The sequence below is a fragment of the Homo sapiens genome, chromosome 7, assembly GCF_000001405.40.
Source record: "Homo sapiens chromosome 7, GRCh38.p14 Primary Assembly".
Taxonomy (NCBI): domain Eukaryota; kingdom Metazoa; phylum Chordata; class Mammalia; order Primates; family Hominidae; genus Homo; species Homo sapiens.
Genome location: NC_000007.14, coordinates 18,104,412 through 18,130,042, shown reverse-complemented (window position 1 = coordinate 18,130,042; position 25,631 = coordinate 18,104,412). Strand labels below are relative to the sequence as shown.

The 25,631-nt window shown below is 37.5% G+C and overlaps 1 protein-coding gene and 1 non-coding gene across 8 annotated transcripts in view; one reads left to right on the top strand and one right to left on the bottom strand.

Annotated features, from left to right (window-relative positions):
* Nucleotides 1-25,631, bottom strand: part of HDAC9 (histone deacetylase 9) — a 915,592-nt gene that overhangs the window by 872,374 nt on the left and 17,587 nt on the right. The gene's annotated exons all lie outside the window — the stretch shown is intronic.
* MIR1302-6 (microRNA 1302-6) lies at nt 2,734-2,823 on the top strand. Its single transcript, NR_031635.1, has one exon. It is a non-coding gene; the product is annotated as a microRNA 1302-6 (primary transcript).

Genomic DNA, 25,631 nt, shown 5'->3' with positions numbered 1-25,631 from the left:
ACTCTTCATCCGTTGTGTTGTTTTGGTTTGGTTTGGTTTTGTCTAGCCAAGAACTAATCATCGTCAAGAGTAGATCTCTCTTAGCTTCAGTGCCACTTCCTCAAAGAATTTAAATATATCCATTCTAGAGTGGGTGACACTGTTATTCTCATTCACTTGAAACCGGATGCTCTCCCTAACACTTATATCACTTTGCCATTACATATTCATTTGTGTTTACTTATTTTATTGCCTTCTCCTCCATTGACTATAAGCTTCATGATGTCAGAGTTTACATCTGTTTTGTGCCTAGCACAATTCAGAGGACAGTTAATGGGGAAAATAACTATTGGTTGGATAGATGAATGGATTAAGAATGAATGAGTGAGTACCACAACCAGTGTCTTACAAGACTGCACAAGCTACAGATAATTGAATATGCAAAAAGACAGTAAAGTATTTAATCAACTATAATAACAAAGTTAAATATTCTGCTTTCCTCAGGTTTTAATATTGTATTAAAAACTGGACAGAATCATAAGTAAAATAAAAATTAGTTAAATTTATGTGTACATGCCTTCAGACACATTAGTACACATAAGACCCTACTAAATGCTGACTCATTTTATAGGTTCTATAGGCTTATTAATTAAAACTTAAAAGGTGAATAAAACAAGGTCCTCTCTCAATGAATTTAGAGTCTAGCATGAGAGAAAGACACATTATAACAACTCTGGAATTACAGAGAGAAGAAAGAAAACAAACCTACCTAGGCACATGAAAAAATAATTTCCATGGTATATCAGTTTAAAAACTGTTTTTCAATAGAATTTCAGTGTTAATGAAATCCTAAGAGTTCAATGAGGATTATACTCACATTTTAGATATAATGAAATCTATTCAGTGACTTCTTCAATAGCCATACAAATAGTAGGTAAGAGGAAGACACGAGAGTCAAATCCCAGTCTCCTTGCTTCAATCACAGCATTGTTCTCTTTAACATATTTGAAAGGATTAGGGGCTTATGTTATGTTCTCTCTCTTGCGAAAAAGCACATGAGGAGAAATGCGCTCTGGAAATCCAGATAAGGCAATGTAACTATATCACTTCTGGAAAGCTAGCTCCTAAAAGTCCTGTTCTCAGCCTGTTAGAGTGGCAAGAAAGGAAGAAAAGGAAAAAAATGAGCAATGAGAGAGGGAGGGAGAAAAAAAGAGAGACAGGAAGAGAGGGAAGGAAGACAAGGAAAAGGAAAGAGAATCAGGATTCAGCTGTACTAATCATAAGGAATAAAGAGACATGGCACAAAGACCCATTAAGAAGCTATCTTCCCTAACCCCTACCATTTAGGTAAAACATGCCATTCAATTTTTTGAATACATCTGTTTTGTCTGTAGTCAAATCTAAGTGCATGGCTGACTGCAGAGACCTTGGGGAACAGCCTTTCCAGATCCCCTGCTTCTATTCCAAGGCATCTGCACATAGTTCAGATGCTTTTTGTAATCACTCAGCTACCCTAAGGTGTCCTGAGAAGCAGTTCTGAGAAAGGTTCATGTGGCTTGAGGCTTCCCAACTCTGTTGAAGCCAGTAACAAACTAATAAAGACCTCGGCTATCATTCAATCCCACCCCTGCTTGATTTTACAGACAACAAAGCCAAGATTCAGAGAGATGAAAGGAGCCACATTCATCCATAACATACTGTTAGCTGACCCAAAACTATCATTCTTATTGCAGCCACATTATGGCTAACAGCACACGCTTCCTGCTTAGTGGTCTGAAAAGACTTTGAGGCCCCAGTTAAAGTCCTTAAGGTAACTAGATAATAAAACAATCCTACTGATTTACCCAGTGGTTTCCAAGCCAGTCTCTGAGATTTTTTGGTAAAGGTACAAGTTTCCTAGAGTTTGGGCAGAGAACATAAGGTGCTGGCTTGGATTAGCTTCACTGAGAAGCGTCTGGTCTGCTACTATGTTGGTATATAGCTAAATGGTTGGATACTGAGAACCGTAACTTTTCCCTCTGTATTCTTGTTACTCAAGAAATAAAAATTGTATTGTAAAAGTGTTACCTTTTACTAAGTGAAAATATAGTTTAAGAATTGTTAGAGACCTCAATCATCTACTAATTCTTTGAAAAGTATTTTATAAAGTTTTTTTTAAATGCACGAAAATTGTCTTCAAAATTTGTTTAGTATACAAGAATCAAAAGCAAAAGAAATCTGAATAATAATAATAATCAAATTTTAGATAAAATTAAAAACATAAAGTCACCAACAGGTTCTGTGGGAAAAATACCCTATCAGAATAACTAAAAGAATGGTCTTAAGCTCTTCTTTTTCTTTGCACAGGGTCTAAAAATTTTGGCCTCTAGAGTTACCCTGCATTAAAGCATGGCTGTGTTAAGTAAATACATAACTTGAAAAATATAATCACTGAAGACATTAGCTCTGACAAACAGGCTAATCCTATTCCTTTTTTAAAATAGTCACTAGACACTTTGAAAACCAGAGAGAATAAGGTCCCCAGTTAATGTTTAAGTTTACCTGAGCAGGTAAACTGCAAACTAAAGAAGCAAAGAATGGGGTTAATAAGCCAAAGCCAGAAGTACAGAGGGAGCAGGGAAGCAGATAAAGGGGTTCCTGGACAGACTTAATGCCTAGAGAAGGAGAGAGAAGGAAGGGACACTACTAAGGTTTCCAAATTTCACAAGTAATAATAAAACATGACACCCACTTAAATATAAATTTCAGATAAGCAACAAATAATTTGGTAATATATGTATGGCCCACACAATATTTAGGACAACAATATTTGGGACATACTTATGCTAAAAAAGTATTTGTTGATAATATAAAATTCAAATATTACTAGGTGTCCTATATTTTTTTCTGACAATCTAGACACTGGTGAAGAGAAGCACAAACTCACAAGTCACACTAATATTGATTCATATCCCAGCTCTATCAATGATCTTATGCAAGTTCTTTAAATTCTCTGAGAATCACTTGGAACCTAACAGCATTGCTGCAAAACCAAAATTAGATAATATTAAAATGCCCAGGCATCAATAACTATTCATTTATCCTCTTTCGTTCACGTACTTCACAGTTTTGTCTGGAGCTAACTTGGATTAGAAAGATACTTTTTCATGCAGATTACTAATTTTAATCCCAATTGCTCTTCCTTGAATGCGGACAATATATAGGGTGCTTAAAATCTTAGCTTATAATCAAACTACTACTATCTTTAATCCAAACAGAAATACAGTTTGATTTGGGGAAAATGTTTAGAGCAAATTGACAGCCAGCACTAGTAAACCCCTCACTCTCAGAAATTGGTAGTTTCCACAGAATGATTGGACTTTCTGTGGCCAATAAACTAAATTGAAAAATCTCCAGCCAACTGTAATAAACACAGAATTGAAGCTAATAAAACACCACAGGGCATTTCAAGGTAACTCAGCAGGAGAGAGCTCACCAATATAGATGTGTTTACAGATGGTGACTAAAGATATAATAATTAATCTGCTTTTGAACTAATGAACAAATCACATGCTTCCTTAAAATACAAAGCACAAAGCTCTTAGCTGCTAATTAAGTTCAGGAGTGGAATAAACACTTGATTTGCAGGAAAGGATAAGGCTCATAAACAGTAATATACAGCTATCCAAGTCTTGCCTGTCTGACTCAGAAAAAACACGTGCTCTATTCAGAATGTAAAAACTGACCCAACGCTATCATTCACCTGGGGTTTTCAAGTCTTAACAAGATCCAAGATAATTTTTTATTAGATGTAATGTACTTCCTCAAGGATCTTTTACAAAGTAATTATTCTAAATTGGCTATAAGAATGCTAAATGTAGTATTTTAAAATAATAATAATACATAAAGCTTGTACAAGTTCAACCACAGGACACAAGCGAATCAATACCAGAAATCCAATAAATCAGTTATTCTCTATCCCCTTTGTAAGTGTTTAGAGTAGTTGACTATATAAATAGGAAAGAATTTCTCATACAAAATTTAATGGAACCAGATTTCTTCTCCTAGATGAAAGAAGGAAGAAGGAAAACATACAGGTAGATAGACCAACAAATAAACAAATGATAGCCAGATAGACTCAGGGTTGACAAACTACAGCCTGTAGGCCTGTTTCGGCACCACTTACAAAGTAAGAGTGTTTTCACATTTTTAAATAGTTTTTTAAAAACTCAACAGAAAAATATTTTATGACACATGAAAATTATATGAAACTGAAGGAAACACAAGGAAGTTGTCCATAGCTAAAGTGTTAATGGAACACGGCCAACTTGCTTAGCTATTGTGCATGGCTGCTTTTCTGCTACAAGGGCAGAGTAGTTGTAACACAGACCATATGGCCCACAAAGCCTAAAATATTTACTATCTTGCTGATAGTAAATATGAATGGTATGCCGACCCCTGAGATAGATAAGTAGATAACACAGACTGTAATCCCTGTCTACATGTCCCAAAAGGTTTCCAAAGTGTTGTCATTAAAATCACCACAGTACTTCAGAATTTATTTTATCATCACTTAAGAAACAAATCATATATATCATGAGCCAGTCCTCATCTTGTTGCTCCATTTAACACACACACACACACACACACACGCATATATATATGTGTTAGTGTATATATACATTCCCTTGGAAAAAAGAGATTCAGGAAAGTCCTAGAAACTCAGCGTCTCAACAGAGGATCTCTGTGCCATCTCCCCTCACAGCCCCAAAACCTTTGATGTTGCCTTCACAGCCCCTTCCCCTCTCCAGTCCTTGATCTTCACTTGCACTGCAGCCTGTCCTAGGCAGTGTCCCGGGTGGCAGGAATTGATATGGCTGAGACAAAGGGTAAAAGATGGGGGGGTACCCTCATTCCCCAGGACTGCTGCAGCTGTTCTCAGCCACGAGTCAACTTCCTCCAACACACCTTTCTCCCTCCTCATCATCAAATCTGGCTATTTATCAAAAATATAAGAAGATAATACCTCAGTATTACAGACTCAAGAACACACTCTTTCTGCTTTAATGTTCTTTTATCTTTCTCTACAGTGCTAGGATGAAAAAGTGTGAAGGGCAGAGAAGCTTCCCCCAACAACCACTGTCATCTATTTCCTCTGTTGCTAACAATGTTAAAAAAAAAAAAAGAAAAAGAAAGAAAGAAAAACTGAGAAAATATCAGTCATCTGTTCCTTTTGGGATCAGAGGCAGAAGTGTAAGAAAAATGCAGTGAGGTTGTGTGTTGCTCTAGAATGGGCAATATGGAAAGCAGAAACCCTGTCAGTAACAGCAGCTGGGGGCAAGGCAAATGGAAGGAACCAGATCAATCTCTTGGATTCTTAAATAAATAAACAAATACATAAATAAATAAAGTGAAATGAACCCATGACGTCCAAAAACTCCCCCTAGAGTTGACGGTATTAGAAGGCCTCACGGGTGCACACCATCCCTACACCAACGCCCATAGCTTTACCAGGACCACAGCTTCTCACATGGAATCATGTAAAAACATAAGATATCTGGGAAGAACTTTGGAAGGTTCACTATTGTAACCTCCATGCATAAAATACTGCTTGTAATAAAGTAAGTGCTTCATTAACATTTGTTGAATGAATAAACTGAGGAATAAACAAATCTATCCCACCTCCTTGTTTTATAGAAACTGGAGTCTGCAGAAGAAAAGCACATGACTTTTTCAAGATCACACAGCCACTTGGAAAGCTAAAATTTTTCTGACCTTGCCCTTGCCCTAGGCTATTGCTGTATGGAAGCAGACCGTAAAAGACATAGATAACATTCACCCAACAGATATTCCACCTTCTTATTTGTCTACAGATCTCCAAATGAGCTCGGCAAAGTGATGACAGAAGGTGGCCACCTGCTTATCCCCCGAAGGTGAACTATACTTCAACTAGAACTTAGACTCTAAGCCACTTCTAACAATCTGATTCTTGGTGGCCAGTGTTTAGTTTGGGGCAGGCTGTGAGTCAGGGTTCTGGCCAATGGTATGCAAAGGGAAACCTGCTGGAGGTGGGGCTTCTGGGAAATAGTTTCCTATTTAGTAAGATTAAGATAGCACCCCTCATTCTTTCTCCTTTAGGAGGTTGTTATGTACAGACAAGATTCTTACATATTTGGTGGACATCTTCCAACTATAAGGTTATAAAGGTTTATAGAACCCTGACTTAAATGAGATGTTAAATTAACCACTGCTTAAACTGCCTGTTTTAGACTTATTATGTGAGAGAATTAACTCTAGTATTCAAGTTCAATAGTCTCTTGCTTGTAGCCAAAAGCATGTTGAATCATGAATTCACCCTTGGAAGACACCCTGTTGCCTGCCCTAGCCTTCATACTGCTTCACCCCAGGTCATGGGAACCAAAGATACATCTTAGGGAAAAAATGCTGATCCTCATTGCCAAAATGGCAGGAGGACTTTAAAATGCCCAGTTCTACTCCAGTGAAATTCTAGTCTATTCCAAGCTAAACTCCAAATGCATTTTCCCAATAGAAATATTATTATATATGTTGTGTGGGCCCCGTGATGATTTTAGAGCAGAAATTGTACGATATGGTTTAAATAGGCTTTTGTGGGTTGGCCTGGAAACCTAACATTGTTTCTATGGAAAAATGTTTCAAATTTCATACGACTCTGTTCCAAATGAACTTTTGAATGCCACCTGTTTTAAATCGGGGGGTTACATATTTGTTTATAATTAAAATACTTAGGCATGAAACTGAGTTATCAGCTGCAAAAATCACATTTGGAGTTCTGGCTTTTAAACTGATAAATGTTCCTTTACCATTTTAGATAAAATAGCTCTGAATAAAAGGGGGTTGTGACCTCTTGCAGTACCAACTTGCAATGCAAAATTAGAACTAAGATAGCCTACCAGCTTCCATTTTAAAGTAATTTTCTGTTGGAGGAAGGAATTACTTTACAAATTAAATAGGTATTGGGCTATTTATTAGGAAATAACCACCCATTGTGCCAAAACCTGTCACTGCAACCAATGTCTCTTTAGGGCCATTGGGAAATATTTAAAGCAGTAATTTGAATAAGTATATGAATTATTTGCCCTCAAATAAAGAAAAAAACCCTAGCAGAAATCTTTGTATGTAATGATAGATCCAGGCTGGGCACTGTGGCTCATGCCTGAGCACTTTGGGAGGCTGAGGCAGGAAGATCACTTGAGGCCAGGAGTTCAAGGCCAGACTGGCCAACATGGTGAAACCCCATCTCAACTAAAGATATAAAAATTAGCTCGGTATGGTGGCACACACCTGTAATCCCAGCTACTCAGGAGGCTGAGGCAGGAGAATCGCTTGAACTTGGGAGGTGGAGGTTGCAGTGAGCTGAGATCATGCTGTTGCATTCCAGCCTGGGGGACACAGCAAGACTCTGTCTCAAAAACAACACCACAAAAATTAAAAATAATGATAGACCCAAATCCTTAGAATTCTGTGTTCGAGTCAACCAACAACTAAAAGTTGCCCCCACTAAACATATACATCAAAAAAAATATCCATTTCTTGACTCAGATAAGGATATAGTAGGAAAAATACTTCCTAGTTATTTTGGCTTTTTTCTTCAGCTATAAAATGAAAATAATATCATCTAGGTCCCAGAGACATTGTGACAACTACATACCAAAGCATTTCCCAGCGCTGTGTCTGAAACCCAGTAGGCACTCACTGTCAGTTCCATTACTTTACATCTTCTTCTCCCGCTACAAGAATACTGCCCTCATATAACATATCCATATTCTCACCAACCTACACACATAACTGACAACCAGAGTTTATTCAACTGGTAAATATGCATATGGTCTCTAAAGAAAGTCAATTCCACCACAATCTTTCAACTGCTTGTGAAAATGAATTAACTTAAGCTCTCCCAACCTTAAATAAAATATTATGATTGAATGCTATGGGGGCTTTTCAATACTATAATTACTGTTACTTGTACTTAAATTCTGCTGATACCATGGATCTTGAAGTTGGTTTCTGGGGAACTGGCATGTTGAAGAAATACAAGAATGCCTTCATTTCATAAAAGGTTGAAAAAGAAACACAAAATAATAATTCCGATTCAAATCAAGGTTGGATATGACATAGAAAAGTTCATCTTTTCCTCAAGATCTCTTCATCTCTTCTTTGTAAACTGTTAAGAGTTTCAGAGTGTCTAATCCTACTCTCAATAATAACCTTTTTTATCTAAAAATAAATTGCAATCATTAGTAATGCCTGTAAAAAGAATGTAGTTATTATAAAACAGTAAGACTCTTGTTAGTATAAGACAGTAAGGTTTAGGCCTCAGTGTTCCTGATGCTTTGAAATTCACGTTGAAAAGCTGGAATTCATTCTTTCGGTTAACTTGACTGCCACACTGAGCACATCTCTGTGTACTGCTCCCTTAAAAGGTTCAATTATTGAATGTTGATTAAAAGCTGTTTTTTCAACTCCTTTATAGATAATTTCAATGGTTTTTTTTTTTTTTTGCATATTCTTATGGTGCTCACCTTACCTTGGCTGTATTAGCTACATGTCCTGTCCTTTCTCTCTTTATTAAACCTACCAATTGACAGAATGAACACCCAGTAAATTACTGAGGTGCCTTTGCTCTGTGTGCTGATTATCACACAAAGCAGCTAAAGCTGCTGCCACAAGTCTCCAGAACAAAACCCGACACCCTGTGGAAGTGTAAAACTCTACGGGCAAGTATAGCCCTACACAAGGCAACTGCCTATATTTTTCAATGTGCAAGTCCCAAAATACTCTATTCAAAAGGCAGTTTTGACAAAAATTTAATATTCTAGAGGAGGGAGTCTTGCCAATTACCTTAAACCACACTTCCCACTCATAAAATGTAAGTTTTCAAATAAAATAATTTAAATTAACTTTTTCTTACCTCTTACATTCCAATAACCTTCCTTATCTGTCAGGATTTGTCCCAAAATTGAGATTTATCAGTGACCAGAGATGTAAGTAAAACACAGTTTTCTCATGGGGTTCTCCGCACTTCTTTCTCTAAAATGCAATTTGGCCATTCTCTCATCTCTATGTCTTCTGTTATGCTCTAAGTCCAAAACCCAACATCTACCTTACTGCCAGTGTGGAAGTAAACTCTCATCCTTAAGAACCCACAAAGAGTCTTCGATTTCTCAACAACCAGCAAGCTCTACAAATCACCATCATGCCCAAGAGAAGAGCAAATCAAATTGCTTTTGAAAGATACAAAGAGAAGCAAAAACTAAAAGCTCTCATTCTTAATCTAAAAACAATGCATATGTATGAGCAACACTAAAGTCTAAATATACACTTTGTATTTCACCCACACTGCTTATGACTACAGATTTTTGCCAAAAATATTACATTTAAGCATAATACCTCAACTTTTTGAAAATCTCCAAACCCCCTGTCTTTTCTCCCCGCTGCCTACCCCCACCCAAATATACTACTACAAACTTCTGGTAAAGGACAGATCTTCTTATCTTAAAAATGAAGAAACGAGGATGAAGAAAACTTCCCAAAGCAGCAAAATAGAAAAGGTTTGTGTTTGGGGACCATCCCTCAATTGGCTTTACAGACTGGAATGGAATGCTGGCTCCGTCTCTAATGAATGGCTTGACATTGAAGAATTTACTTAACCCTTTTGAACCTCAGCTACAAGATGAGCATAACATCCTCTATGATCAGCATGCATATTTATTAAACAAGCTGTAAAGCAGGATTTCTCAACCTTACTACTACTGGCCTTGTGGACCACATAATTCTTTGTTGTGGGGGGCTGTCCTGTGCAATGTAAGATATTGAGCAGCACCCCTGGCCTCTGCCCACTAGATGCCAGTAGCACTCCTCCCTTCTGTTGTGATGTCTCCAGACATTGCCAAATGTCCCAAGGGAGCAAAATCTTCTCCTGTGGAGAATCTGGTGACTTTTCTACCCAGTAGTAAATGTTTACTAGACAGTAGTCACTATCATCATTATCTATTAGACACTGATTTCCAGATACAAACTGTGATATAATTCACATTTCAAACTTCCCATACATTACCCCCAAAAACATTCTTTGGTGGCAAAGATGGAAAGCATGACAAGATCATGGCAAACACCCCAAGGATTGATCAATACTTGATGAAATGAATTCTCAATATGACACCTATGGTCTTTTAAGTAGAAAAGAATTTTGAGAGAAGTTGAAAGGATGTAAAATCCCACAGCTTTGACTCACGGAGAAAGTTATGGGCACAAACCACCACTTCCCAGTCATAATGTCAATTTGTAGCAGAGCTGTGACCAAAATAACTGACACACTTACTTTCAGTCCAACAGATATTTCACTTTACCATGACAGGTATATTGGGAAAATCCAAATTAGACAGTCAGATTTTCCAGTGTCTATTCACTATCCAAGTGTGTTTTCCCATTAAATCCCTCTGATCAACTGGCTAAGCTCCTCAATCTCTCTTCCTGTTTCCTTCACTACGCTGAACAGTTCTTCAGAAGACCGACAGTTCTCTAGAGTTTAGAAGACAGGAGACAAATTCAACCAAGACAAGTTTGGTGGTAAGAAACTGGTAGCTTCGGTCTCTCTACTGTGCCATAACAAACATTTTCTATGGCAAATGTCCTCAGCTGAGATAGAACAGACTGCCTTTCATATTTCACTTAACCAACATACATTGCTTGGTCAGATCAGTTTTGCCTCTAAGACCTATTCCAACACTGCTGCTTGCTGTATTTTCTAAGACTATTTAGTATTACAGGCATGTGACAGTATCTAGACTTGCAAGGAAATAGCATGGAGCATGCAATGGACTGGTGCACTTTGATTTCAGATATAGCATCTTTTCTGTTATAGTAACCTACCATTTACTAAAAGGTCCATGTTAGAAATAGAGTGTAAAGTTTGTTATCATGTTCTTGACTCAGAGAAAATAAGCAACCAAAAAGTGAAACAGGAAACATCCAATTTTTGCTTGGCCCTAATTATGGTAATTAAGGAAATTAGTCTAACTCTAGAAGAGCTTCAGATAAAATATTCTGAAAGAAGCCAGGTTCAACTCTGATATCCCCATGCTGACAAAAATGGGGTACTCATGCCGTCTTAAATCTAAGCTACCTGCATTCAGCATGCCACTTTTCAGGTGTTTTCCGATTTCCCATACTACCCTTTCTTGGCCAATATTCTCTTAAAGCCCAGATGTCCAGCTTCCAAGTTCAGCATTAATCTGATAAATTAATCCATGTCACTGTAGTAATGGCTTTCCCTAAAAAGAATATACAAAAATAGGCTCTGGATACAAAATAGACAAGGATTTGAAGGCTAGTAATTTGGACCATGTTACTTTCTTAAGCCCTGGACTGTAGGGTGTGGAGTAATAATATCACCCATCTGATAGTCTGCTGTACATAATGCTGTTCCTAGCACATGGTGAATGTCAATAATAGCAACTATATCATTAAATTCCTCTGTTATATCCTAAGTAGCTCAGACAGTGAAATTGTCAAGCAAGCTAGAAAATAAGGGAGTTATATTAAAATTATTTTCCCCAATAAAATAGGGGAAATATAATGAAGAAAGAATTTTTATAAAAAATTTCTATGTTCTATACATGAAGAAACTGTGACATGGCCAAGACAAACACAACATGTTGATGTAACATTCCTTTCCAATGGCCTTCACCCCCATTCTACCCAGATTAAGTAAAGTTAGGGATCTGCTATATTTCCCATCAAGGAACCATAAGGACTGACAATATTCCAGTTCTGACTCTCATGTTCAAGTCTCTGAAGGAACAAGGCAAGAGAAAGCAAGATGTCATAGAGAAATGTGATTACTTGGCTCATTTGTGAAGTAGGGATAATAACAATATAATCCTCATGGATTCTGGTGAGGAGTAAATGAAAGAATGCATGTTAACCCTGAGCCCTGGCTTTACTATGGGGTTAAACTCCCATAAATGTTGGTTGTTATTATTACTCAGAGGAGTTTAAGATCCTCATCACACTGACAAGGCAAATGAGACTCAGAGAGATCTGTAAGTGATGAAGGGGGAGGAAACAGAGCCCAGTTGTCTAATGTGTATGATAATAACATAAGAGAGGAGGAAAGATGTGGAACTACAGGAGAAAGAGTCAATCCAGGGAGCACTACCACTGCTGCTGACTCTTCATTCTCTCCATTGTCTCTCCATTCTCAACTTCTGAATTCCTTTCCTAGGGCTGCCGTAACAAAGTACCACAGACTGGGCAGCTTAAAACCACAGATGTTTATTTTCTCACAGTTCTCAAGGCCAGAAGTCTGAAATCAAGGTGTCAGCAGGTCCACGCTCCCTCTCAGACTCTGGATGGAGTCCTTCCTTGCCTCTTCCTAGCTTCTGCTGGTGGCAGGCAATCCTTAGCATTCTTCAGTGGGTGCATCATCCCAATGCATCAATTCAATGCTGCATCATCCCAGTCTCCACCTCTGATGTCACATGGTGTTTTCCCTGCGGGGATCTCAGTCTCTCTATCTCTTCTCTTTTTTTTTTTTTTAATTTTTTATTTTATTTTTTGAGACAGAGTCTCGCTCTGTTGCCCAGGCTGGAGTGCAGTGGCGCGATCTCGGCTCACTGCAAGCTCCGCCTCCCAGGTTCACGCGATTCTCCTGCCTCAGCCTCCCGAGTAGCTGGGACTACAGGCGCCCACCACCACGCCTGGCTAATTTTTTGTATTTTTTGTAGAGATGGGGTTTCACCGTGTTAGCCAGGAAGGTCTCGATCTCCTGACCTTCTCTTCTTTTTTATAAGGATACCAGTCATATTGGATTGATAGGCCACCCTACTCCAGTATGATCTCATCTTAACTTCATTACATCGGCAAAGACCTTTTTTCCAAATAAGGTCGCATTCACTGGTACCAGGGGTTCAGATTTAAACAGACCTCTTGGGGAAAAACAATTCAACCCACTACAACCCTCTCACCTGGAAATAGTTTATAATGTTGCGGTTTGGTTTGGTCAATCCTAAAGCTACAAATGTGAAGTTCATTGAAATGTTATTCAGGCTAATGGACCAATTCAGAATGATTGTAACAAAAAGGCAACTATGCCTACTTAACTATGTTTACTTCCCAAGCTCATTAGTGGTTCCATGTGGTGAGAAAAATTTCCCACTCACTGTATCAAATTTAGCACATTTATTTAGTCTGAGTCAATGCCTGAAATATCCTTTCATACATTTAAGCCAATTTTCCCCAAGGTCATGCAGCAAGATAGAAGTCACAGATCTTTCTCCTCTGAGTCAATCACTATGAAATACAGCACTGAATTTGGTGAAGGGGAGTTAGGCTATGAAATCTGCCTAGAATAATAGAGTTGATTTATTAAATCAACTCTATTATTTGTTAATAAAAAAATAAATTTTTATTATTTTATTTGATACATATGTTATTTGATACGTATGTTAACCAAAACATATATATTTTATGTGATACATATGTTAACCAAAACCAAAGCACTATTGATCTAGAATGAACTATAATTTCATATAGCTGTTTCTATAAAGAGGTAGGTTATTTTTAAACACTGAATATCAATCACATTTTTCCCAATCATAATTCACAGTATAAGGGAATACACAGTACTTTTGATTAATATCATTTAATCAAAGTGATAGTTGACAGATAAATTGATCACTTTATCCTTTTCAAAAAATTTTAGCAAGTAACATAAAATGTAACTTTTCCAAGCAGGCATAATTTTCACAATTGCTAGAATTTGTGTCCAATTTCTCATTCTGGAATTTTTCTAATATAAATTTATTTCTTATTCTCAAAAATTCAATTACCTAAAAAATGAACTAATCTAAATTATGGTTATATATGCAAGAAACAAAGCAATGCATATCAAATTTTCATTAACATACACCACGAAAATTGCTAGCAAATTTGATCTAACACAGGAAAATTATCTCAGCATGAAACCATTGAGAAACATGAGAAGGCTTTTCTTGAATTTCAAAACGTGGATGAATTTTTCTCTATAGAAATAAACACTACATTTTATAGAAAACTATAGAGATACAATTCAACGTGTAACTAAGTATCAATGTAGTGAAGTGGTTAGGGTCCACATGGTGTCAGATACCTGAGTTTGAAGCCACAGGTTAGCCCTGGAAGCTGCAAAAAATTGAGACAGCTACTGAATCTCTCTAATACTATTTATTCTCAGCTTTAAAACAGGGATGATGATAGTAGTATCAGCTTCTAGGATTTTAATGAATAATAGATTAAGTGACTATAAAATCTTTGGCATAATGCCTAATTGTTATTATTACTAGGAGCACAGGTCCACAGCTGGCAGGTATGGCAAACTGCCTGGTTTCACAGTATAGCTGCTATGAGTTACTGGCACTGAAACACTGGTCAAATAACCGATTTGAACATCAAATTCCTCAAAAGGAGAAAATAATAGTAACTCCCTCAAGGATATAAAATAATATAAAATGTAAATGACTTAACCCAATACTGGAATCTACTACATTTTCAGAAAAACTTATATCTCATTGTATTTTCATGGTGGAATGTAATTTTGCAAATAACATAATCATTGGCTTTTCATGCACTTGTGCAACCAATTTTTTTGTCATCTAAAAATATTCTCACAAATCTAAAAGAATTATCACTTGCCTAGAAGATCAGAAGTATTATATTTTTGCAAATGTGAATACTGCAAGATTGATCCATATATGGATTTTTTTTTTTTTTTTGAGACAGAGTCTCGCTCTGTCACCTAGGCTGGAGTGCAGTGGCACAATCTCTGCTCACTGCAAGCTCTGCCTCCCGGGTTCATGCCATTCTCCTGCCTCAGCCTCCCAAGTAGCTGGGACTACAGGCGCCCGCCACCAAGCCCAGCTAATTTTTTTTGCATTTTTAGTAGAGATGGGGTTTCACCGTGTTAGCCACGATGGTCTCGATCTCCTGACCTTGTGATCCTCCCACGTTGGCCTCTCAAAGTGCTGGGATTACAGGCATGAGCCACTGTGCCCGGACATATGAATTTTTTAGAAATATACTTATACACTTCTAATCTATACTCTATGCTCCCTGGGAGTGTATGAACAAATGGTTGCCTTAAATTTCACTCGTTTCTAATATTTTTTAGCTGCGAAGAGGCTAACATATTTCAAACAAGAAGTCTGAATATATAGTCCCACACAAAACGGAAAACCACCCAGCAATGTATGCAGCTATATTTGTTTAAATCGTTCAGATATAAAAAGTATTATCAGGCAGATTCTCAGATCACTTTCCTCTTTGCTTATCTTTTTTACAGAAGCCTTCCCAGCAGCCATGCTTGAGAATGAGATGTCATTAATATTGGTTCCCTTTCAAGTCTGGGGTTACTTCCTGGACTGCTCCATCTAGATTGACATTGAAGAATGGATCCTCTCCGCCAGAAGGAATTGTGTCAGGTCTTCACTTATTAATTAAAAATAGTCTAGATGGAGGTCAACAAAGTTTGTCCCAGGCCTGCAGGTAAGGACTAAAAAGGTAGCCTTCCAGGTGAAATAGCATTCAACTGATAGTAAAAATGCAAAGGTTGGAGCTAGACAGGACTTGAGATCATCCCCTTTGGCAAACACTACTAATTGGCTAACAACAGTCATTCTCTACCAATTTCTCCTTTGCTGTCTCCCAATATAGATGTGGGAAAGCTAAATATTCACATTCCCAAACTCTATTGTAGCCAAGGGTGGCCAATGAGGTCTAAGAAGAATTCCGCTAAGGATGTCTCTCTAATGCGTTTGCTTCCTTGATTAAACCAGACACACACATGGCTAGTGCTGTGCTGATTCTTCCCTCTTTTTCTACCTTGAACATGATATTTAGACCACAGTATCATCTTGCAACCATAAATTAATCAACAAACACAAGGACCAGCTGTCTGAGTGGGCTACAACAGTGTTATAACTCTGAAAACATACATGCAGAGTTATTTTTCCAAAGTCTTGAGGTCCTCAGCCAGATGTCTGAGGTGCTGTTAGACTGCAAGGTGAGGGGGAATGTAACTACAGTGTTAGGCTCAAAGTGATAGCTACAATGGCACACTAAGGGCAGATTACATATGTATATTCAATATCAACAGCCATATTTAGCATCATCAATACCAATCTCTATGAATATTTAGGATAATTAATATTTCAGAAAATAGATCTGAAAAGATTTGAAATGTCAAACTACCATGCAAATATAAAAAAAAGCTCTGTATCTTACTATGTTTCAACTGAGAGAAATATAAGGACTGCAAATTTTAATACAGGAAAACTAATAGAACTAAGACAGTGTAAGCAAAATGTTATGCATTTCTTTAATTGAAGCATACATATACAAATAAGAGTGTGTTAAAAGCAAGAATCCAAGTGAAAAAGTCATAAATTATAATGCTGAAGAAAGTCATGTTCCAAAATAAGACTTGTTTTCTTCAGCAGTCTGGATAACATTTTACCTTGTGTTCAAACTATCCATGCATGCAATGAATGTAGTTTAGTCAACCTCAAATTATATCCCATTTCTGATCATCTCGTAGAAACTTAATCCGTGTCCATGGAAATGTAGCATTACATTGCAAAGCTAAGTAAAAGAAATAATAGTTGGCATTTAAATGCAATGAGGCGCCTTCAAATTGTCTCTCATTTTTTATTTAAATATTTCAGCCTAGAAAAACAGACTAAAAATACAGCATAATAGTTCAGAGATTAAATCAGCATGAAATCTTGCCATGGTCAATCATAGTATTCACCTCTTAATCTATACTTTATTCATAAATTAACTGATATCTTTCTGAGCTTCTTTTCCTGACCTCATCCTTCTTATTTCTTAAATTACAATTCACTGATGTACGTGATTTTAATGTACGTGTACTTAATTTATCACATCTTATGTTTATCATTTCCTCATCCTTACAGGAATAGGGGTCCTTCCTGTGTTCAAGGTTAATTTTCCCACAATAGTCTATATCTTATTTCTTCCTATTTCTTTATCGCCTTCTTCTAACATTTACTTCCACCTTCGCCTGTACCATCAATCTCTCCCTCTCTACTGGCTGCTCACTTTCCACTCAAGGAAAAACACAAACAAACAAACGCTCTCCCAAACCTGTAAACATCTTCTGACTACCTACCAACCTAGTACCTATGCAACATCCCTTCTCTGCCATACTTTTCAAAAAAGTACGTGTGACCTGCTTCTTCACATCCCATATATATAGCCACTGTGTGCTGATAAATGTTAACAACTGGCTCTCATCAAAATAAAAGTGTATATACACACATATATATGTTCATTATAAATTGTACTAAAATAAAGGAGATACAGCACACAATTGACAAATAATAATAAAACATATAATATCCTTTACTGAAAATTCCATATAGCCAACTGTTTCTTACAAAATGCTTTCATTAATACTTACCAAACCTGGTAGGTTCTGACACTAATAATATTTTCTTTTGCATTAATAAGTAAGAAGAAAGTGAAACAATGACTGTGTATATCGGAACTTCTCTTACTCATCAATATTGAGAGCAACTTCTTTATTGAATTGGATGACAGTTCACAAGTACCGAAAGACCATTTCCTCGATTTTTTTGTGCCATTCACAATGTAATTGTTGTATACCAACACAAGTTTAACTGTAGTCCGCATTCTTAACAATTTCTCTATCACTTTCTCAGGTCTAGAAAATCAACAAAACAAAATCTCCGATTTGTGGCATTTATTTGCCAATTTCCACGGTGTAAATACTCTCACTTTGGCTAATTTCAATATGCCAACAAGAGTCAATAAACATAGACTTGAAAAGAAATGTGCGGTAGTACACCATTGTATAGTACATCCACCCATTCAGGAAAATAATAGACATAAATAACCTTAAGAGCATAGATAATAGAAAAATGTTGTAAAATAATTAGGGAGGATGAGCTTTAATATTTTTACTACATCTATTCTAATACAATTTAATTGTAAGTGTACATACTTTAATTTTTACTAATGGCTATTTTAACAACCAGCTTGCATAATTCCTGAAAATTTAACAATCCAGCTCTCTCAAGGCAGCATAAGCTAGATCTAGCACACCACTGGCAGGAAATACAGCTTGTACATACACCACTCTACTGCACCTGCTCTTGCTAGAGCCAGCATGGAACTGCAGTTTCAAAGCCCATGGCACCTCTTACATTTACTTTATGTGACCTCTTGGCAACATTCCCAACCCTTTCCATACACCTTTAAATTACAATTGGCCCTCCGTATCTATGGATTCCACATCCCCAAATTCAATTGCAAATGCAAAATATTTTTTAAAAATAAATAAATAAGCAATAACAATATAAAAATACAAGTTGAAAAACAATACAGTATACCAACTACTTACATAGCATTTATACTGAATTAGGTATTATTAGTAATATAGAGACGATTTAAAGTATACAGTATGGATTATATGCAAACACTATACCCTTTTACCCAAGAGACTTGGGCATCCACTGATATTGGTATCCAAGGGAGTCGCTGGAACCAATCCACCACAGATACCGAGGGGCAGTGATACTCTGCCACTCTTTTCCAGCTTCATTTTAGGACTTTATCTAACTTTCTCCTTAAATATTCACATTCTAACCTAGGCCTCCTTTTCTGCCTGTTTTGCAAACCTAGTCTGGGCAATCTCACTAATGACTTCAGTTAGCAACTACTCACCAATCATCCTCAAATCTCTGTCACTTTGCAGACCAAACTATTTTGCTAAGTTCCAGAATGGACAGAAGACTTCCTTATGAGTTAGGTCCCCTTCTTCTATACTTACTAATGAAGTAATTAGTTGGGTAATTATTTACGTCTGTCTCTCCCACTAAGCTGTAAGCTTCACAGGCACATGGAACATTCTGACTCTTTTCTTGCCACATCCTCAGAGTCAAACACATTGTTTGGCACAGAGTACTTACTCTAGGAACTGATGAAAATACAAATGAATAACCCATAAGCACTTCAAACACAACAAATACAGAATACAACTCAGCAAATGTCCCTTAAAATGTGTTTCTCTCCTGAATTCTAATTACACTGACCTATACCAACATCCAAACTCTTCCCCATGTGAAAGAATCCCAGACTCCCCTTATCATCTCCGTTCCTCATCTTTTAAATATCTATCATATCCATTTTGTCTTCCCCATCATCACAATTACTACCTCAGTTTAGACTCCCCGTTGGCTGGACCGCTGTAATAGCCTCCCAAGCTCCTGGCCCCCGTCTTTCCTCACTCCAACTCAACTGCATAGTTGCCACTTACCAAATTGCTTAAAATTGTGACTATGGCCATCTCTGTCTAATAATCTATCAGGTGTGCTCTACCATCTAGAGGCTAAACTCCAAACTCTTTACCCCAGCACTTACACAGCCCTTTATAGTCAGGACTCCATCTGGCTTCCCAGCCTCACTCACCATCCATATTCCCATGTGGAGTCTACACTCCATTTGCACTTACATGGAGTTCCTTGTCCTTTGTCACATCTCTGGGCCTCTGCACATTACTTCTCTCTGCCTGGAATATCTCTATTGTTCATGTGGTATTCAAGGTTCATCGTAAGTATCCTTGCCACTTTTCTTGACCCCTATGGAAGACCCCTCCTCTGTACTTTGATAACACTCTGTAGCTTTTATGACTATATCTATCCTCTTCTACAGTGGTTACTTTTGAACATTTATTTTTTACCCCAGTAGACTATGAACTTCTGCCCAAAATAGACTATATCTACCAAAAGGACAAACACATAGTAGGAATTCAGAGCTCCTTCTATGACTATAAAAAGACAAACCATTTGTTCTGCAGAGAAAGTGCACGTCCAAGAAGCTGCTGTCCCTTTTAAAACCACTCACCTTGAAAGTCATCCACTTAGTTTAATGATGATGGCATTACTCCAAGTATTTTTGGAAGTCAACTTTCAGAATTGTCTGGGGAATGTTCTTTAAATTATCTCAAGTGAGGCCAAAAAAACATCATTCTGAGCAGATCTGAGGCCTGGGAGAAATCATGGGGTGAGCAATACAATTCTGTGCAGAAAATGAGGAATGAAATATGTAAAGCACCATACAATGATTGATGTGGGGGCAATGACTAAGAAACTGCTCAGAAGCATGCCTAGAGGGAGAATCACAAAAAGTATTTTAAGCAAAGTTTCTTATTATTTCAAGCCATTTACAACTCCTTAAGATAGATTAACAACATTAAAGTGGATATGTAAGTACTGGTAACTTGGTTGGCGCACCACATGAAGCTCTTCAAATTCACATTTTACAAAGAATGTCCAACATGAATAAGTATTACATTAAGGGGAGAAAAGAAACCAGCAATTAAAGAAATTTAATACACAGCATTAAACAAAGTAAAAAAAAAAAGGTTTATTTATTGCTGCACTTCTCAGCACTGTTAATATCTTAATGTGCCTCTCTATGAAATCCATCTATGTATGGTACACAGGATTTCTCAAATTCTTTTAATGTCATAATCCTTTTTTCTTGCAGATGTTGTGGGGTTTACATCCCATCTACTTTAGGAAACACTGCTTTCTTTGGGACTGGATAACTTATCATCAGAAACTACACTGACACCAAAAGCTACAGATGAAGTTAGAATTTACCCTAACCTACCTACCTTACATGACATAGCTCATTTATCCTTACAAGATATCCTTACAACAATCTTATAGTGTAGGTAGTACTAATATCCTCAATTTGTAGTTAAGGGGGAAAAAATGCTTAACCTGGGTACTGAGTGGTTCTCAGTTGCACTGCCTCTAGGGCTTTGCTCAAGCTCTCCTGGAATTCACTGTTCCTTCAGAAATTCCCTGTTTCCACATGGATAATTCCTATCCATTACTTTAAGGTCCATTTTATCCACTTTCCCCAGGAAGTCTTCACTGCCAACTGGCTAAAAATAACCATCCCCATGGTACCTTATTCCTTTCATGAAACTTTTAAATTTACTGTCTTATACATGTTTCGCAGAGAGGCCAAATTCACATGGCCTAAGAAGAAAACAAGCTTTTGACTGGCTAACATATTCCTGATAAGAGACGAGTGTGGCCAGGCGCAGTGGCTCACACCTGTAATCCAACACTTTGGGAGGCCGAGGAGGGAGGATCATGAGGTCAGGAGTTCGAGACCAACCTGACCAACATGGTGAAACTCTGTCTCTACTAAAAATACAAAAATTAGCTGGGTGTGGTGGCACGCGCCTGTAATCCTAGCTACTCAGGAAGCTGAGGCAGGAGAATCGCTTGAATCTGGGAGGCAGGAGGCAGAGGTTACAGTGTGCCAAAATCACAACACTGCCACTCCAGCCTGGGCAAGAGTGAGACTCCATATCCAAAAAAAAAAAAAAAAAAAAAGGAGATGAGTGTAAAATGCTCTCAACATTTTAAAGTATGTTCAGGAATACGATCTCATTTGATTCTCCATTTTGAAAGAAAGAAAATAAGTTCTCATTTGAAATAAAGAAACTGAGCTTTAAACAGCTAATTGCCTCTACAAGCGAATTCATACATCCCATTACCTAGTACAGCCTTTACACACAGTAGGTACTTACCTGAGGACTGAGTAAATGCTTGAGAAAAACTAACTTAAATTCTGGGCTTTTTCACACTTGAGCACTCCTCCCATGATGGCGCCCATCTCCATATACAGTGAACGCTGTTGGTACTGCCCCACACTCCCTGGTCATTGCTACTTGAATCTGTGCCCACAGACTTCCAACCGTCAACCCTTTTATTTCTTTACCTGAGGGTTTTCTCTGGACCTGCACTGCAGTTGGAAACTCTGGGTATTAACACCCCCTAGAAGAGCCCTCAACTAAGGACTAACAGGTTCTAGGATATCATATCCCAACTCCCTTGCTTCTCATGTAGCTAATTGTAGGCATATTTTTCACAGGTCCCCCGAAAGAATTAAAATTTCAGTTGCTCAAGTCAGTAACTTGCTTAATACAAACAGTTTACTGAATGCCTCCTTAGTAAACTACCTGCACTCAAATCTTTGTCTAAGAATCTGATTCAGAGAACCCAAATAAGACATATAGGGTCGAAACAAGAATTTCTAGTTTTAAAAATGAAAGGTAAAAAAGGGGGAATTACTTATAAATAACTAAGTATAATCACATTTTTGAAAGAGAAAACATTAACCAGCCACTATCTACCACTGCATAATGAGCAAGTCCAAAATGGGAGTTAATGTTAGTACATGAATGTTAACTCATGAATTTGCTGACATGAAAAAGAAAAGCTGTTTTAAAAAGTACAGAAAACACTTTAAAAATATGTTAGGGGAGGTGTCAGTTTAAAATCCACTTTAGGCCTTAAATCTAACACCTTCCTCAGGTGTATAGGTTGAGAAAAAGTTTTAAATCTCACTTTTTTGCTTCTACTCTTTTTGAATTAGCTTTTTAAAGGAGGTGTCTGTCTGTGTGTGTGTGTGCGTGTGAGAGAGAGAGAGAGAGAGCAAGAAAGAGATCAAGTTGTATTTCAATGAAGCCATCTAATTAGGCATTTCTTAAAATGTCCTCAGATCTCTGATCTTCAGTAGGGCAAATGCTAGTAGTCTCTCTCACATGCCTACATTTGACCACAAAGGATGTCTAATCATTTGTTCAAAACTTACCAAACACTTTCTATGGAGAATTACTGGAATTTAGTTGTAAAGATTTTTTTAATGAAAGACAAAGCAGTTATCACTAAGCAGCTCCCAGTCTAGATGGAGAGACAGAAAAAGAAACGGATATTTACCATTTAGGGTAGCAAGGGATGCCCAGAGTATTTGGGAAGCGCAAACACCCTAGGTTTGCTCCTAATCTACACAGGGCAGGGGAGAGGGGGCAGCAAAGCCAGATTAATATTGTGACATGATGCTTGTTCTAAAATATCATAGTTGCATACCCAGTCCACTACATTTTATTTAAAGTTTAAAAACTATGAAACATAACACTTACATGCACACTCAAAAAAGCTTCTTTCAAGATTTTCTGATTGCAAAGGTGGTATAAGCTCATCAAAGTTAATTTATTTTCATTTGTAGGGTACTCCTGCCTGCCCTGAAGAGTCTACATAATCCCCCTATTAAGTATTCCAGCACTGGTGTATAAAAAGGGATTCCAGGAGAGGTGAAATATGAACTCAAAAGAAAATCAGGAATTTAAGAGATGAATGTGAGGAGAAGAGAGTGGGAAGGACTTTTCTGGTAGAAATGTGTACACAGGGCCAGCCACGGTGGCTCACGCCTGTAATCCCAGCACACTGGGAGGCTGCAGCAGGCAGATCATTTGAGGTTAGGAGTTCAAGACCAGCCTGGCTAACATGGTGAAACCCCATCTTTACCAAAAATATAAAAAATTAGCCAGGTGTCGTAGAGTGTGCCTGTAATCTCAGCTACTCAGGAGGCTGAGGCAGGAGAATCACTTGAACCTGGGAGGCGGAGGTTGCAGTGAGCTAAGATCGCACCACTGCACTCCAGCCTGGGAGACAGAGTGGGACTCCATCTCAAAAAAAAAAAGAAATGTGTGCATGGATAATAAGACTCATAGACAGCATGGAACTCTTGGAAGAGTTTGTAGATTAGCAGACTAGTGCAAGGGAGAGAGGAACAGACAGGCAATGGATATGGAAAGACAAAGTACCCAGAAATGAGACTGGGAAAACCAGCAAAGGTCAGATCATGAAGGATCTTGAGTTCTAAGGAGCTTTCGGTTTTTGTTTTGTTTTTCACTGCGTTCCCTGACTTTTTCTGAGGTATCATTCACATACCTAAAAATTTACCCTTTTAATCTATATAATTCAGTGATTTTTATTATATTCACAGAGGTATACAGCCATCAGCCCCATCTAATTCCAGAAAATTTTCATTGCCACAGAAAGAAACCCTATATCCTTTAGCAGTCACATCTCATTCCCCCTTCCCTTTGCCTCAGGCAACCACTATTCTACCTTTAGTCTTTGGCTATTTCCTATAAATTGAATAAAATAGCATGTGGCCTTGTAAGTCTGGCTTCTTTCACTTAGCATAATGTTTTCAAGGTTCACCCAGGTGTAGCATAAATCACTGCTTCATTCCTTTTTGATTACCTAGTAATATGCCATTGTGCAACTACACCACATTTTGTTTATCTATTCACCAGGTGGTAAACATTTGGGTTGTTTCCACTTTCTGGCTATTATAAATGGACATGAATAATCATATATACATTTTTGTCTGGAAATATGTTTTCAATTCTTTTGGGTGTATACCTAGCTAATATAGTAACTCTCTGGTTAGCTTTTTGAGGAACTACCAAAATTGTTTTCTGAAGTGGCTGTGCCCATTTTGCATTCATACCAACACCAGAGTTTGAAATCTACATCTAGAAAGCATCTAGATGTAGATGAAATCCACATCTAGAAAGCATCCTAGATGTAGATGAAATCCACATCTAGAAAGCATCCTAGATGTAGATGAAATCCACATCTAGAAAGCATCCTAGATGTAGATGAAATCCACATCTAGAAAGCATCCTAGATGTAGATGAAATCCACATCTAGAAAGCATCCTAGATGTAGATGAAATCCACATCTAGAAAGCATCCTAGATGTAGATGAAATCCACATCTAGAAAGCATCCTAGATGTAGATGAAATCCACATCTAGAAAGCATCCTAGATGTAGATGAAATCCACATCTAGAAAGCATCCTAGATGTAGATGAAATCCACATCTAGAAAGCATCCTAGATGTAGATGAAATCCACATCTAGAAAGCATCCTAGATGTAGATGAAATCCACATCTAGAAAGCATCCTAGATGTAGATGAAATCCACATCTAGAAAGCATCCTAGATGTAGATGAAATCCCCATCTAGAAAGCATCTAGATGTAGATGAAATCTCATCTAGAAAGCAGATGAGCTGATCAAAGTTTTGAGGCTAGATAGAAAAATATTAAAATTTCATTTTAGAAAGGCTATTCCAAAAGTAATATTGGTTAGAATTCTATTGCAAGGAAGCCAGGTAAGACAACATGATTGTCTGATTAAGATAATAGTAGAAATGATCTGAAGGAGGAAATGGAATTGAAAACAAAGGGGGAGGAAAAGGAAATAGCCTTTAGAAAAGATTAATTCAAAATTTAAATTACTTTGAATTCTGTGTGGCATCAACAAAACATGTCTATAAGCTGCCAATTTGTGATCTCCCTTACAGAGTAAAGGGAAAAGTGAGCCAAGAATCAGAATATGCCCACACTGAGGGAGTGAATTAAATAGGGTCCCAAAAAGGAGACAAGGAGAGAGCAGAGGCAGAGGAGGAAACTGGAGAGTATGATATCCCAGAAGCTCTGGGATGATCATTTCCAAAAGGGGGAGTAGTAAACAGTGTGAAATGGTATAGGGAGTCTTTTCACACTGGGAACTGAAAATTGAAAAAATATTTGGTGTCTGCGGGCAAAGTAGAAAGCTGAACAACTTAGCATTCTCTCTTTTCCCAACCCTTGTTTTTTTCAAAAGTCAGCATAAGGATTTAAGTGCCTCAAATCTTTTTTTAAATTTCTCAGACAAGAGCCAGGTAAGTTTAATT